Genomic DNA, 16,321 nt, shown 5'->3' with positions numbered 1-16,321 from the left:
GATAACAAAAATAGTACACATAAAAATTTGTGGCATGAAGAAAAATGGTACTTAGGAAATTTATAAAATGCCTATATGCAACATATAATTGACACAGGACTAGTATCTCGAATGTATTTATAGGATATGCAGAAAATAGAAGAAAGATCTGAAACTATCATAGCAATCAAACCCACAAATCTAGACTTAAGAAAATCATAGAGTAAACCAGCTGGATTCTTCAACCAATAAACTGCAAGAGAAAAAAAAGGGAATAAAGAGGGAACTTACAGACTAAAAGCAACTTAAAAGACATCAATCGATTATTATGTTTAAACTTTATTTGGATCTGATTCAATACAAAGTATAAAAAATAATTAAAACATTTGAGTACTTGATTGGATATCAATGAAGACTAGTGAAAAAAAATAATGATCTTTTCAATAACCAGTGCTAAACTGGATAGCCATATGAAGGAAAAAAATGAAACCTAATCTCTACCTCACATTCTACACAAAAGCCAATTTCAGATGAATTATAGACCTAAATCAGCCAAAAAACAGGCCAGGCAGACATGGTGGCTCACACCTGTAATCCCAGCACTCTGGGAGGCCAAGGCAGGATGATCACTTGAGCCCAGGCATTCGAAACCAGCCTCGGCAACACAGTGAAATCTGGTCTCTTCAAAAAATAAAAAATTTGCTGGGCATGGTGGTGCATGGCTATAGTCCCAGCTCAGAAGGCTGAGGTGGAAGGATCACTTGGGCCAGGGAGGCTGAGGCTGCAGTGAGCTGTGATTGTGCCACTGCACTCCAGCTTTGGAGACACAACAAGACTCTTAAAAAAAAAAAAAAAAAAAAAAAAAAGCAAAAGCCATGAAGCTTTTAAGAAGATTACATGATTACATACAAGAAAATCTTCATGATCTTGGAGTAATGAATGACTCCTTTAATACAAAATATAAAACAATAGACAGAGGAAAGGTCTAAATAGGACATTAAAATTACAAATGTTCATGAAGAATGGAACAATAAGCCGCAGAATGGGAGAGTATATATATTCAATACATGTAAATTGACAAAGGACTAGTATGCTGAACATATGAAGAACTGAAATTATTAAGAAAAAGAAAAGGCAATTAGAAAAATAAGCAAAAGACTAGAACAGGCATGTCATAAAATGCTCTACCTCATTTAAACTTAGGAACAAGCAAATTAACACCACACATATATCATTACACAGCAACAACTTGTTAAAACAGACTAGACCAGACTGGGCAACATGGTGAGACCCTGTCTCTACAAAAAATACAAAAGTTAGCCAGGTGTGGTGGCATGTGCCTGTGGTCCCAGTTACTTGGGAGGCTGAGGCAGGAGGATTGCTTGAGCCTGCAAGGCTAAGGCTGCAGTGAGTCATGTTTGTACCACTGCTCTCCAGCCTGGGCAGCAAAGTGAGGCCCTGTCTCAAAGGAAAAAAAAACATTAACAAAAACAAAAACAACAACTTATACTGACCACACCAACTGTAGGTGAAAATTTGGAATACTAGAAATACATTCTGTTGCTATGAACATTCTTATGCTTTAGATCATTCCAAACTGTTTTTCCAGTAACTGTACACTTTTCTCCTATGGAAACACTAATCTGTACAATCACTTTAGAAAACAGTTTGTCATTATTCTATCCTAATATCCAGCTATTCCTCTTCTGGATATATACCTTAGACTCTAGGACCTAGCAAAACAAATGAACATGTACAAGAATGTCCTTAGAAGAATTTTATAATAGCATCGAACTGTACACAATCCAAATATCAATTAGCAGCAGAATAGTTAGTGGGATGTTCATAAATACATCCTATATAAAAATTAAAATTAATGAATTCAATATGCACAAAAGCATGGCTATAAAAAATCAACACATGAAAAATACAGCAAAATGTATATAAAGTTCGTTAATAAAAACCATATTAATTAAAAATACATAAACTAAATGATATTATTTGCATAAATAGCTGAGAACACTCTAAAACACACGAAGGAAAAGATTATCACCAAAGTCTATTTTGTGATTATTTCTGGGGGAAAGAAGTGGGTTGTGATTGGGAGACTGCATATAGGAAGTTCTTAAGGGTCTGTAAATGATCTTTCTACAATTGAGTTGTGGTTAAGTGAATGTTAACTTTACAACTGCACATTGAAGTGTACATATTTTATGTATTTTTATATAATTATGCTTATCTCAACAACCACACACACTGTACACATTAAACACACACACACATATTTTTATATAATTATGCTTATCTCAACAACCACACACACTGTACACATTACACACACACACACACACACACACACACACAAGCATAGGTTGATTTTTCCATCAAAATTTGAACTGTTATCTTCAGGTAGTAAATTTTACACATTTTTATTTTTAATAATAGGAGTAAATACCTTCCCACAACAATATAATGAACATTACAGGAAAATTAAGGCAACTTATTATTTACAGAATGCCTTTCTGTGCAAAACAGGACACTATACTCTTCCTACACATTAAAGCATTAAAGATTAAAATAACTCTAAAAGGTACTTATTATCAGTGTCTTTACTGAGGCAATTACCAGTGTTCAGATAAATAAATGTCAGAGCTAATCCAAATATGAAACTTGAAATTTTCCCACCATTCTATACAAATTCCCACAGCAAACAGAGGAGGTTATTATTTTAGATAAGTCAGGGAAAGACTTTGCAGAGGAAGTAACATTTCTGAGATGGAGAAAACTAGGAGAGGAACAGGTTGGAGAACAGGAATCAAAAGCTGTTTTTGGTCAAGAGATGCCTACTAGACATTCAAGTGGAAATGTAAAGCAGGTAAAAGGTTAGAGCTTACAGAAGAGGTTCAAGTCAGTGAGAGCTGTTTTTGAAAAATATTAATGACTCAGATAATTCTCAAGAACAAAATTTCTCCCATATTTGAGAATTTATACTGATTCAATTCTTAAGCATACCGTAAATAGGTTCAAATAAATAAAACAGGTTTGAATTTATTCCTCCTATGGGTATACTCCAGTAACACAATTTGCCAGTATACATTAATATGTGATAAACTCTAATCATAACATTCTACATGTTCTTGGCTTCAGATTAAAATAACTGATTAATTTTATAATGTTTTACAATTTTAAAAATTTTTATTAGAGGTAGGGTCTTACTCTGTCATCCAAGCTGGAGTGCACTGGTGCAATCATAGCTCACTACAGCCTCAAACTTCCAGGTTCACGCGATCCTCCTCTCTCAGCCTCCTAAGTAGCTGGGACTACAGGCAGGAGCCAAGGCCTCAACCTAATATGCCCCAAAGTTGATACAAATTTTATTAGAAAAACAAACTTTTTGTAAGTCTAACAGGTAAAGGAACAAAGAATCAGATCTATTTTTCTTATAGCTTCCTTACTCTTCCCTTCCCTCTTTTATTCTTTATCACCTAAAAGCTTGGTCACCAGTAAGTTGAAAAGGTTAAAATATGGCTATGAAAGTAGAAAATATAGAAAAATATTTAAGATGTTCAACAGTAATTTTTAGAGTAAAGTTAGTTAAGCACTAGAGTTTATGCAACACTGTAAAATACAAGTATTTTACTAACTACACTGGAAAAAACACCTACTTGCAATTTTAATTAATCATTATAATTCAAAAACAGGTTTATATAACTGGCCAGGCCCTTTTGAAAATATAAGTACAAATCTTGGGGATATGTTTTGAAGCTGGCTTCGCTTCACAGACTGATAAATCTACTGTCCAAAAGTCACAAGAATTATGTCTTTATTGGTTCATCTTAGAATTAAATCAACATGGAATATGTACTTTTTGAATTAAACAAAATGTTTTGATAAAAATGAGATACGTGTGTATAAAAGCTGGAAAACTCATGTCCCCTGAAACTTGGTTTCCACCAGATGAGTTTCAAATTCAGATACTAAACACACATGAAGAAATAATCAAATGAATTCTATTCATCCTTTCCCCAAAGTTTTGCTTACAATTAAGATATAGGTATTATTTGTATGCCGAACAAACAAAATAAATTGGAAGATGTTTGGATAAACAGGGAAGTGAACACTTCAGGAACTACTATTTGCAGTTTGCAGGACAGGATAATCTTCTCTAGGAAGAATAATGTCAACATAGCAGCACTATATTCACCAGGATTCCCCAGAGCCGATGGTCCGATCATGTGGCAGGAAGCCAAATCTTCTGGCTGCTCACAATATCAATCAGCTTCCCTTTAATCTTCAGGAAGTGTCTCTTGAACTCCAATCCATCACCCTATATTAGAAATAGTATTAAAAAATTATGTCAAAACAAAAACAAAAACAAAATTCTGTCCTAAAATCAATCTCTTTGTAGTGGTAACAAGAGACAAACATCTTTAGGTATGTCTAGCTACCATTTTCTTTTCGGTCTGTTTATGAAGACCAAATATCCTGGAAGAGAAAATTGTTACACAAATAATTCTGATGTGGTTTCATGCCCATCACTGTTCCTACTGCACTGAGCTCAGAGAGCAGATAAACATGGCATCCTATCTGTTTCAGGTGTTGGTATATCTGGACCTAAGTCATTACATTCCATAGGCAGTGAGGGTTTGGAAACTAACAATAAACTATACAACTAAACTGAAGTCTTGTTGTCATAACACTACTGACCAAAATCAATAGATTTAGTTATGAGAAGAATTTCATTATACTACGATCTTAATTTAATTCTGTAGCAAGCATCTGAAAAACAGTATTGCAGCAAATCTCTAATACAAAGAGTACTGCGGCAAATGCTCTAACACAGCAGCTACCCCTCCAACCCTCTTTAGAGCCACATACAATCTCTCAGAAAATAGAGAAAAATGTTATTTTGGTTTTATATATCAAGGGCTGTAATACTATCATCTTAGAATCAATGATTTCTAAAGAAATCATCAGAAATATGAACAAAAAAATCTATGCATAAAATAGCAATCACAGAATTATTATAACTGGTAAAGGTTCATTAAATTATAATGAAATATTTGTAACAAATCATAATTTTTATTAAAAGACATAAATTAAGAAAAATATTAAAATGCTTCGAAATATTAATGTGATCACTGAAAATTTAGAATTATTTTTATTTTCTCATTTTTTGCTTATCTACATTTTTCACAAAAGCAGAAATTTCTTTTTTTTGAGACAGAGTCTCTTGTATTGTCACCCAGACTGGAGTGCAGTGGCGTCATCTCGGCTCACTGCAACCTCCGCCTCCCAGGTTCAAATGATTCTCCTGCTTCAGCCTCCCAAGTAGCTGGGATTACAGGCACCCGCCACCACGCCTGGCTAATTTTTTGTATTTTTAGTAAAGATGGGGTTTCACTATGTTGGCCAGGCTGGTCTCAAACTCCTGACCTCGAGATCCACCCGTCTCGGACTCCCAAAGTGCTGGGATTACAGGCATGAGCCACCACGCCTGGCAAAAACTTTTATAATAAGGAAAATGTCATTTGAAAAAAACAATGTTCGGGAAAAATAGATAACGAAAACACATGCTCATAATATTAAACGAAAAAAGCAAGTAACCTATTTACAAATGCCACATATATACAAACATAATGCCATTAAAAAAATTCATATAGAAATATTTCCATAGAAAGAATACAATAAAACATAAAAATACCTTAGAAAGCCGGAAGTCAACCAATATTTTATCATCCATTTCTAACAAATTCACTTTGAAAATGAGTTTATTGTTTCTCCTATCAGTTGTTGATATAGTAACCTAAGGCAACAAAAATAAGGTTAAGCCACATGGGTGAGTAGATAATAAACTAGTAAACCCACTATGAAGAACAGAATAGAAGTTTCTCAAAAAACTACAAATAAAACTACCTATATGTTCCAGCAATCCCACTACTGATCCAAAGGAAAGGAAATTATATGGAAGAGAAATTTGCAACCCTACAGCATTATTCACAATAGCCAAGATATGGAATCAACCTAGGTATCCAACAACAGATGAGTGTAGGCCAGGCACTGTGGCTCACGCCTGTAATCCAGCACTTTGGGAGGCCAAAGCAGAAGGATCGCTTCAGACCAGGCTGGGCAACATATCGATACCTCATCTCTACTAAAATTCCCAAAAAATTAGCGGGCATGGTGGTGCATGCCTACAGGCCCAGCTACTCAGGGGGCTGAGGCAGAAGGGTCACTTGAGCCCAGGAGGTTGAAGCTGCAGTGAGCTATGATTGCGCCACTGCACTCTAGCATGGGCGACAGAGCGAGACCCTGTCTCAAAAAAACAAAACAAAAAGCCAAGCAAACAGATGAGGATAATATGATATATATACACAATGAAATACTACTCAGCCATATAAAGGAATGAAATCCTGTCATTTGCAGCAACATGGGTGGAACTGGAGGACATTATGTAAAGTGAAATAAGCCAGGAACAGAAAATTAAACATCACATGTTCTCACTCATATGTGGAAACAAAAAAACTGTTAATTTCATAGAAGTAGAAGGCAGAACAGAGGATACTAGAGTCCAGGAAGGGGAGAGGGAAGGGAAAGATAGAGATTCATGAAAGAATACAAAATTACAGCTAGATAGGAGTAAGTTCTAGACCACTGTAGGATGACTATACTTAACAATAATAGAGTTTCAAATTGCTAGAAGGATACTGAACATTCCCATCACTGAACATTCCCATTCCCACAATGTTTGAAATTATGAATATGCTAATTATCCTGATCTGATCATTATACATTATATGAATCAAAACATCACTACATACCCCATGAATACATTACAATTATTGTATCAATTAAAAAAAATTTGCTGGCTACCTCCATAACAGGAGTAATATTAAGTATGCTGATAATCTCACTCATTCCAGAGTCTCTCTTCTCCCAGTGGGTATGTGTGTCCCCAACCCAATCTATCAACAGGGGTGCAGCTCCTAGGGATTGAGTGTATATGAACTCATAGCAACAAAACTTACTGTCTTTTACCAAAATACCACTGAAAGAAGAAACAATCAAAGATGAAAACATAATGGGAGGAAAAACAAGATTATTAAAATGTGAGAAAGAAAAAGGCCTGACTTGTGGCTGAAAAGCTAGAGCGGCAATTAGAAGATGGCAAAGGTCTTGAGAGGCCTTCAACTTCCACTTTCAGTCTTTTAGAACGTTCCTATGGCATGGAAAGACGCTCAGCCTAGCTGAATGATGCAGAAAGAAAAGACTCAGCTAACAGACAGTGCCAAGACTCCAAATATGGGAGTAAGGATGTTTTAGACCACCAGCCACAGTAAAGACATCAAATGACTACAGCTGGATGAGTTAAGCCCGAGCGAGATCAGCAGATTTGCCCAAAAAACACAGCCCAAATTACAAAAGTTTTTGTAATAATTCTTACTTCAAGAAACTATGAAAACACACAACCATACCACGACTGTGCAGCACTGAAATAACCCACTATGTTCTGGGAAAATTAATACAAGATATTCAACTCAACACATCTGAATTAAGCTCTTAAACTTCAAAGACAAAGAAAATACTTCAAGAACTGAGAGAGAGTGAATCAAGGAGTGATGTCAGTGAAAATGGCAGAGAAAAGAACTCCAGAAGTCCATTACTCCACAAAAGCAATTTTAAAAACCTGCCAAAGCCTGTCAGAATCAACTTTTTCAGAACATTGTAAACTAGCTAAAAGCTTGCAGCAACTTATTCAAAACAAGTGAAACGCAGTAAGAACAGTGAGCTTTCTGGCATTTTAACTTACCCTGTTTATCCCCTGCTCCTCACTCAGTAGCAGCCTTGAAAATAACAGTTCATATTTAAGGCATAGGTCCAGGTGGGAGCAGAATAAACCTCATTTACAAACTATCTTAAGCCGATCTGACCCTCTAAAATGACCTGATCAAAAGGCTTGTCCTGGCCAGGCACAGTGGCTCATGCCTGTAATCCCAACACTTGGGGAGGCCGAGGTGGGTGGATCACCTGAGGTCAGGAGTTCAAGACCAGCCTGACCAACATGGTGAAACCCTGTCTGTACTAAAAATACAAAAATTAGTAGGGTGTGGTGGCAGGCGCCTGTAATCCCAGCTACTTGGGAGGCTGAGGCAGGAGAATCGCTTGAACCCGGGATGCAGAGGTTGCAGTGGGCTGAGATCACACCATTGCACTCCAGACTGGGCAACAGTGCGAGACTCCATCTCAAAAAAAAAAAAAAAAAAAGAGGCTTGTCTTTATTTCACCTTTGTAACTCTAACTCACCTTGTGCTAAAGCTACTCCTGAGTAGCGTTTGCTGAAAACACTTACAGGAAAATGCTTTAGTCTCTGTTGCCTGAAGCAATGAAAGCAACTGGTGCAAACAGACTACCCAAGAAGTTTGGAAGAAGAGGTTAGGGAGTGAGATGTTTCTGGGGAATAGGACTCTGAAAAGGTCCAACATATACCTGGGAATCTAAAAAGACACACCCATGACCAGGGCAGTACATATGCTTAGGAAAGAGCTGAGAAGGCCCCTAAGCTCTACATGTGCCCTAACTTTGCATTTTGCACAAGCAGATAGCGAAGGCTGAAGCAACGTTGTAAACTTCTTGGTTGAGTATTGCAGGTGTGCCCCAACACAAATACAGAACACTCTGCAGATTTTTTGTTTTTGGTATACAGAATTTAAGGAAATCTCTGTCCAATCATTAGCTGACCACTAAAACTAATGGGACAGAAATTGTACAGCCATGCATGACAAACAATACCAACTTTAAAAAATTATATAAGAAAAATCACTAGGGCCGGGCATGGTGCCTCACACCTGTAATCCCAGCCACCTGAGGTCAGGAGTTCGAGACCAGCCTGGCCAACATGATGAAACCCCATCTCTAATAAAAATACAAAAAGCCAGGCACAGTGGCAGGTGCCTGTAGTCCCAGATACTTGGAAGGCTGAGGCAGGAGACTCACTTGAAGCCAGGAGGTGGAGGCTGCAGTGAGCCAAGATCACGCCACTGCACTCCAGCCTGGGCAACAAGAGCAAAGCTCCGTCTCAAAAAAAAAAAAAAACAAACACCACTAAAAAAAACAAACAACTACATCAAGCGGTAACAAACACTGGCAAGAGGGGAAAATCTGACTTTCTAGAGTTGCCACATATTGCCACAATATGTCCAGTTTTCAACAAAAAATTACAAAGCATGTAAGGAAACAAAGTATGGCCCTTATAAAGGAAAAACAGCAACCAAAACTGTCCCTGAGAAACATAAAGAAAGAAGAATAAAGAAAAATGAACAGAGTCTAAGAACTGTGGCACATCAAGTATACCAACAATAAACATAATGAGTCCAAGAGGGAGAGGAGAGTTAGATATAAAAAAAAAAATCTGAAGAAATTGTGGCCAAAAACTTCCCAAGTGTGATTAAAAACATTAATTTACATATCCAAGAAGCTCAACGAACTCCGAACAGAATGAAAAAAGAAATCCACACCAAGATACACCATAGTCAAACTGTGGTCAACAGAGAAACATAAAAGCAGCAAGAGAGCAGCAACGTCTCACATAAAAGAGATCCTCAGTAAGATTAACAGCTGATTTCTCATCAGAAACCACAAAGGCTAGAAGGCAGTAGTGGCATAATCAAAGTGCTGAAAGACAAAAGCTAATAAGAATTCTATATCCAGCAAAACTACCTGTCCAAAAAGTGGAAGAGAAATTAAGGCACTTAAACTGATAGGAATAGATACTACACTTGATCTTAGCCAAAAGGCTAAGAAGCGATTTTTTTTTTTTTTTGAGACAGTCTTGCTCTGTCACCCAGGCTGGAGAGCAGTCATGCAATCAGATCACGACTCACTGCAGCCTTGATCTCCAATGGCTCAGACTATCCTCCCACCTAAAGCCTCCCCAATAGCTGGCATTACAGGTGCACACCACAACGCCCAACTAATTTTTAAAATATTTTTAGTAGAGATGGGGTTTCACCATGTTGGCCAGGCTGGTCTCAAACTCCTGGCCTCAAGTGATCTACCCACCTCAGCCTCCTAAAGTGCTGGAATTACAGGTGTCAGCCATGACACCTGGCTAAGGCACTTTAGATTCAAAGACACAAATAGGTTAAAAGGAAAAGGAAAAAAAAAATAGACCATGGAAACAATAACCAAAAGAGAGCTGGTAGCTGGGTATGGTGGTACATGCCTGCAGTCCCACCTACTTGGGAGGCCAAGGCAGGAGGGTCACTTGAGCCCAGGAATTTGAGGCTGCATTGCACTATGATCGTGCCTTTAAGTAGCCACTACAGTCTAGCCTAGGCAACATAGTGAGACTCCATCTAAAAAAAGGAAAATACACAAGATAGCTGGTGAGCTGATGTGGATATACTAACATTAGACAAAATAAACAGACTGATGAAAACTGTCAATTTAGCTGGGCATGGTGGTGCACACCTGTAGTACCCACTACTCAGGAGGATCACTTGAGCCCAGAAGGTCAAGGCCAGCCTGGTAAACACAGAGACTGCATCTCTACAAAAACATTTTTAAAAAGTTAGCTGGGTATGATAGTGTACACCTGTAGTCCCAGCTACTTAGGAGGCTGAGATGAGAGGATCACTTGGGCACAGGAGGTCAAGCTATATTAATAAAGGGAAAAAAAATCCACATGATTATCTCAATAGACGGAGAAAACATTTGACAAAATCCAATACTCTTTCACCATAAAAACAAAAACCCCACAGCTAACATCATACTTAATGCTGAAAGACTCGAAACTTAACCCTAAGATCAAGAACAAGACAAAGACTCTATTTCTGTTCAACATAATGTTGGAAGTCCTAGCCAGGACAACTAAACAAAAAGAATTAAAAGGCATCTGGGTTAAAAAAAAAAAAAAAAGTAAAACAATTTCCTGTATCTCTATTGATAAACAATGTAATTTTTTTTTTTTTGAGACGGAGTCTTGATCTGTCGCCCAGGCTGGAGTGCAGTGGCGTCATCTCGGCTCACTGCAACCTCCGCCTCCCAGGTTCAAGTGATTCTCCGGCCTCAGCCTCCCGAGTAGCTGGGATTACCGGTGCCCGCAACCACGCCCAGCTAATTTTTTGTATTTTTAGTAGAGACGGGGTTTCACTATGTGGGCCAGGCAGGTCTCAAACGCTTGACCTCATGATCCACCCGCAACGGCCTCCCAAAGTGCTGGGATTACAGGCGTGAGCCACCACGCCCTGCCAAATAATGTAATCTTAATATATTAAAAAACCTAAAGAATTTGTCAAAAAAACTACTGGAGTTAATGAATTCAGCAAATTTTCAGGATACAAGATCAATATACAAAATTCATTTGCATATAGCAATGAACAATTTGAAAATAAAATTTTAAAAAATTCCATTTACATCAGCATCAGGATAAAAAAAAAAAGAATAAACAGGATTACATTTAACCTAGGAAGTGCAAGACTTGAACACTGAAAACTACAAAATATTCTTGAAAGAAATTAAAGACCCTAAAAAAATGGGAAAAAAAAGGCCCCATGTTATTGGATTAGAAGAGTTACTATTAGAGGTTTAGCATCCTTAATCTCAAATCTGAAATCCAAAATGTTCCAAACTCCAAAACTTTTCAGGTGCTGACATCATGTGACAAACTGAAAATTTCATACCTGACAGGTTTGCTTTCTGATAGTTCAATGTACAAACTTTGTTTCATGCACAAAATTATTTAAAACATTGTATAAAATTACCTTCAGGCTATCTGTATCAGGTATATATGAAGCATAAATAAAATTATTCATGTTTCAACTTGAGTCCCATCTGTAAGTTATCTCAATATGCATATGCAAATATTCCAAAATCCAAACAAATGTAAAATCCACAAAACTTTTGGTCCCAAGCACCTTGAATAAAGAATACTCAATATATACTAAAATGGAAATACTCCCCAATGTAATCTCTTTTAAAATTCCAAATTTTTTTCTTGCAGAAATAAGATAATCCTAAAAGACAGAAAAACAAGGGGCCACAAATAACCAAAATACCTTGAAAAAAAGAACAAACTTGGACAACTCATATTTTCTAATGTCAAAATTCACTATAAAGCTACAGTAATCAACATAGTGTGGTAACGGCATAGCACAGACATATAGATCCATGAAATAAAAGAATTGAGTCCACAGGGGAAGAAAAAAAAAAGGAAAAAAAAAGAATTGAGATTCCAGAAATAAACCCATACATCTATGACCTATTTATTTTCAACAAAGGTGCCAAGACCATCTAATAGTAAAACATATCTTCAACAAATGGTGCTGGAATCTGAATATTCACATACAAACATTTGAATTTGCACCCTACATCATACTATATACAAATATTAACTCAAAATGGACAAAGACCTAAATATAAGAGCTAAACTTTAAGACTGTAGTCCCCGCTACTTAGGAGGCTGGGACTCCTAAAAGAAAGCATAAAGTATAAATCTTTACAATCTTACATCAGGCAACAGTTTCTTAAATTTGACACTAAAAGCATAGGCAACAAAAGAGAAATTATAGATCCACTGGAATTCATCAAAATCTAAAACTTGAGTACATCAAACGACACTAACAAGAAAACAAAAGAATGGGGGAATTTTCTCCCACAGAATGGGATAAAATATTTGCAAATCAGGTACCTGACAAGGTTCTAGTGTCCAGAATGTAAAAGAACTCTAACAACTCAACAATAAAAACAAGCCAGTTAAAGCATGGACAAAATATCCGGATACTGTTATAAAGAAATGGCCAATAAGCATATAAGAATATGCTCAAGATCATTAGTCTTTAGAGAGATGAAAATCAAAAGCAAAATGAGATAAGACTTCATACACACTAGGATGGCCATAGCAAAAAGGGGAGGCAGTAAGTGTTGGCAAGGTTGTAGAGAAATTGGAACCCTCTTACATTACTGATGGGAACGTAAAATGGTACAGGTGCTTTGGAAAAATCATTTCACAGTTTCTCAAAAAGTTAAATGAAGAGTTACCATATGCTCCAACAATTCTATTCCTCCATATATATCTAAGAAATTGAAAACATATGGTCACACAAAAACTGGTACAAGATTGTTCACAGCAGTATTATTCATAATGATGAAAAAGTAGAAACAACCCAAATGTCCATGAGTGGATGAATGGATAAACGAAATGTAATACATACACACAACAGAATATTATTCAGCCATAAAAAGGAATAAAGTACTGATAGATGCTATGAACCTTGAAAACGTGCTAAATGAAAGCAGACAGACCCAAAGGACTACATGTTATATGATTCCATTTATATAAAATGTCCAAAAAGGCAATCCCTAAAGACAGAAAGTAGATTCGAGGTTGTCTGGGAATGGAGCAAGAAAGGAATAAAGAGTGATTCTAGGTGGTACAGAGGTGTTTTGTTTTTTTTTCCCCGTGGTGATGCAATGTTCTGGAATTAGGGGCGATGGTTGCACAACCTTGTGAATATACTAAAAAGCACTGCATTTTACATTTTAAAATGGTTAAAGTGATGATTCTTATGTTATGCAAATTTTATCTCTGAGTCTACCTGAAAGAAAGTGAATCACCTATGTGAGTGAGAAGACTATCAGGCTGACCTCAGATTTCTACACAGTAACAGTTCCCCCAATTTTTAATTTTGAAAACTCGAATCTACAGAAAAACTGAAAAAAGAGTATAATAAATAACCATATACTCTTCATTGGCCTTATCTACCAGATATGTGTGTGTTTATTGGCCTTTATGTAGTTGTTTGCCCTTTATTTTTTTAAATTTTAAGCTGAATGAAAATATCACTTCACTTCAACTTTGCTTTGACACTTGTTCTCCTTTGAACAAGGGCATTCTCCTACAAACCACAGTATTATCACACCCAAGAAATCTGACGCTGATACAAAAACATTACCTAATTAATATACAGTCCATATTCAAATTTCCCCAATTGTTCCAATAATGTCCGTTATAGTTTTTTTCAAATACATGATCTAGTGAAAGATCATGCATTGCACTTGCACTTAGTTATCAGGCCTCTTTAGTCTCCTTGAGTAAAAAACAGCTACCCTATTTGTCTTTCATTGACATTAACATTTTTTTTGAAAAGCCTTAAAGACAGTTTAGAATACCAATGTTATAACTATGCTCTAATAATATAAACAATAAAAATTGACGGGTGCAATCAAGGGAGATGGGAGAAAGTGTGGGATTGCTAATGTATTCGTCTTTCATAGTAGGCAGTCAACTGTTATTGTCTACAGTTTAAGTATACATAGTTTTTACAAAGATAATGATTCCAGCTCCCTACTATTTTTAATAACAATAAAAAGGTCTTTTAAGAAATATTATTTCTTAGGCCAGGCACAGTGGCTAAAAATTAAAAATTAAAAAATAAAACAAAATAAAAAAAAGTATTATTTCTTAAAGTAAAGAACATTTTACTTAAATAGTTTCTTTTTCAAATTAACTAATTACTTTGTATTTTTATGTTTGTTTGGTTTTCTTTGAGACAGTCTCACTCTGTTGGCCACGCAGGAGTGCACTGGCAGGATCTCGGCTCACTGCAACTTCCGTCTTCCAGGTTCAAGCAATTCTCGTGCCTCAGCCTCCCGAGAAGCTGGGATTACAGCCATGCACCACCAGGCCGGCTAATTTTTGTGCTTTTAGTAGAGACAGGGTCTTACCATGTTGGCCAGGCTGGTCTCGAACCCCTGACCTCAGGTGATCCGCCCACCCCAGCCTCCCAAAAAGCTGGGATTACAGGTGTGAGCCACAGCCTATATTTAAAAAATATACTAATGATAGCTTTTACTCAAATATTTAAATTCTTCTTCAGGAAAAGGTATAATGAAAATCAATGAAACACACCTGATTCATACAACTTTTCTTCCATTGATAGCCCAACTTCTCACAAGTCTCTTTCAGGCATTGATAAGATTTGTCTGCATCCAATTTGGTAAAGAATCGTGTCATTCTTTTGACCAACCGCTGCCAGGGGTTCTACATGTCAAACAGAAGACAAATGAATAAATCCATTAGGACTAAAGACAGTAATATCATAGCTATTTAGTCTGACTTAAAATTATTTTGCATGAAGGCCTCCCTCCTCTCTTTCTTCCTTGACCAAAAAAGAATACATGTGATTTAAAAGTTATATATCTAAGATTTACACATTAAAAAAGGACTTTAAGACAATAAAAAATAAAGAGCTGCCATTACTTTTAAAAAATTAAATTCCCTCACCTGTGAGGATCCTGGGGTGCCAAGTAACTGACTATTCAAAAGCATATGATCAGGACATGTGGGCTGGGAAAAGCTGATCCCTTGTACCAATTTATCAATGTATGAGGGGCTGGTATCCCATAAGGAAAGACCTGTGCGGGGTTCTGGCTGAGAACTGGAGTACTTCACATTTTCTTCACTGAGGCATTAAGACAGAAAGAAACATACATTTAATAAAATAAAATCTATCAGGCCTTTCTTATATCACACACAAGTTCTCATGCTTACAGTATTATGTTAATGTCGATTATTATGAAAAAACACATACATGTATTATTCTTCATGGGGAATACTACAATCAAAAACTACTCAATCTTTATCAGTCTTACCTAGAAGCACTGTTTACTGGAGAGAAGTCCAAATTGGATTGAATGTGCTTAGAAAATCCACTGGGAGACTCTGACACACCACCTGAAGTGACTCGGGGCCTTTTTGCCCCTAAAAAAGAAAACAAATACAAATGCTTTCAAGTCTTCTATGCAAGTATGTTTTTAAATTAACCCAACTGGCAACTTGAAGAAGTAAAACTATGTCTAAATCTATTTATTTAACACAAAATTTTTGTAAGATATAAAACAAAGTCTTCCTATATGATTTTATAAAAAATATGGCCAAGTTATAAAATTACTAAAACTCATTTGTCAAATTAGGTATTTTACAATACCTAAGTATGATCTGTAGACATGTTCAAAGTGTGGAGTATGCTCAGACCACAATCTTTTTTTTTTTCTTTTTTTGAGACGGAGTCTCGCTCTGTCACCCAGGCTGGAGTGCAGTGGCGCGATCTTGGCTCACTACAAGCTCTGTCTCCAGGGTTCACGCCATTCTCCTGCCTCAGCCCCCTGAGTAGCTGGGACTACAGGCACCCGCCACCACGCCCAGCTAATTTTTTTTTTTTTTTTTTTTGTATTTTTAGGAGAGATGGGGTTTCACCATGTTAGCCAGGATGGTGTTGATCTCCTGACCTCGTGATCCACCCGCCTCGGCCTCCCAAAGTGCTGGGATTACAGGCGTGAGCCA

At 36.8% G+C, this 16,321-nt stretch overlaps 1 protein-coding gene and 1 pseudogene across 14 annotated transcripts in view; both read right to left on the bottom strand.

Moving 5' to 3' along the window:
* The window catches only part of CHEK1 (checkpoint kinase 1), a 55,989-nt gene that overhangs the window by 21,594 nt on the left and 18,074 nt on the right, over positions 1–16,321 (bottom strand). For 4 of the 14 annotated variants that reach the window (XR_007062447.1, NM_001114121.2, NM_001330427.2 and 1 more), the window contains 5 exons: positions 15,631–15,739; positions 15,263–15,440; positions 14,888–15,019; positions 5,684–5,785; positions 4,184–4,306 (listed from right to left, as the gene is read on the bottom strand). Coding sequence is in view for 11 of the 14 variants with exons in the window: in NM_001114121.2 (NP_001107593.1) it covers positions 4,211–4,306; positions 5,684–5,785; positions 14,888–15,019; positions 15,263–15,440; positions 15,631–15,739 (617 nt within the window). In the remaining 3 variants the exon portion in view is untranslated. Of the gene's footprint in view, positions 1–2,376; positions 4,307–5,683; positions 5,786–14,887; positions 15,020–15,262; positions 15,441–15,630; positions 15,740–16,321 lie in introns of those variants that run through there. The other 10 variants (XM_024448337.2, XM_047426313.1, NM_001330428.1 and 7 more) reach the window with 4 other exon arrangements.
* RNU2-35P (RNA, U2 small nuclear 35, pseudogene) lies at positions 9,644–9,785 on the bottom strand (annotated as a pseudogene).

This window comes from Homo sapiens, chromosome 11, assembly GCF_000001405.40.
Source record: "Homo sapiens chromosome 11, GRCh38.p14 Primary Assembly".
NCBI classification, from domain to species: Eukaryota; Metazoa; Chordata; class Mammalia; order Primates; family Hominidae; genus Homo; species Homo sapiens.
The sequence above is the reverse complement of the archived record's forward strand: the minus strand, read 5'-3'. Positions and strand labels throughout refer to the sequence as shown.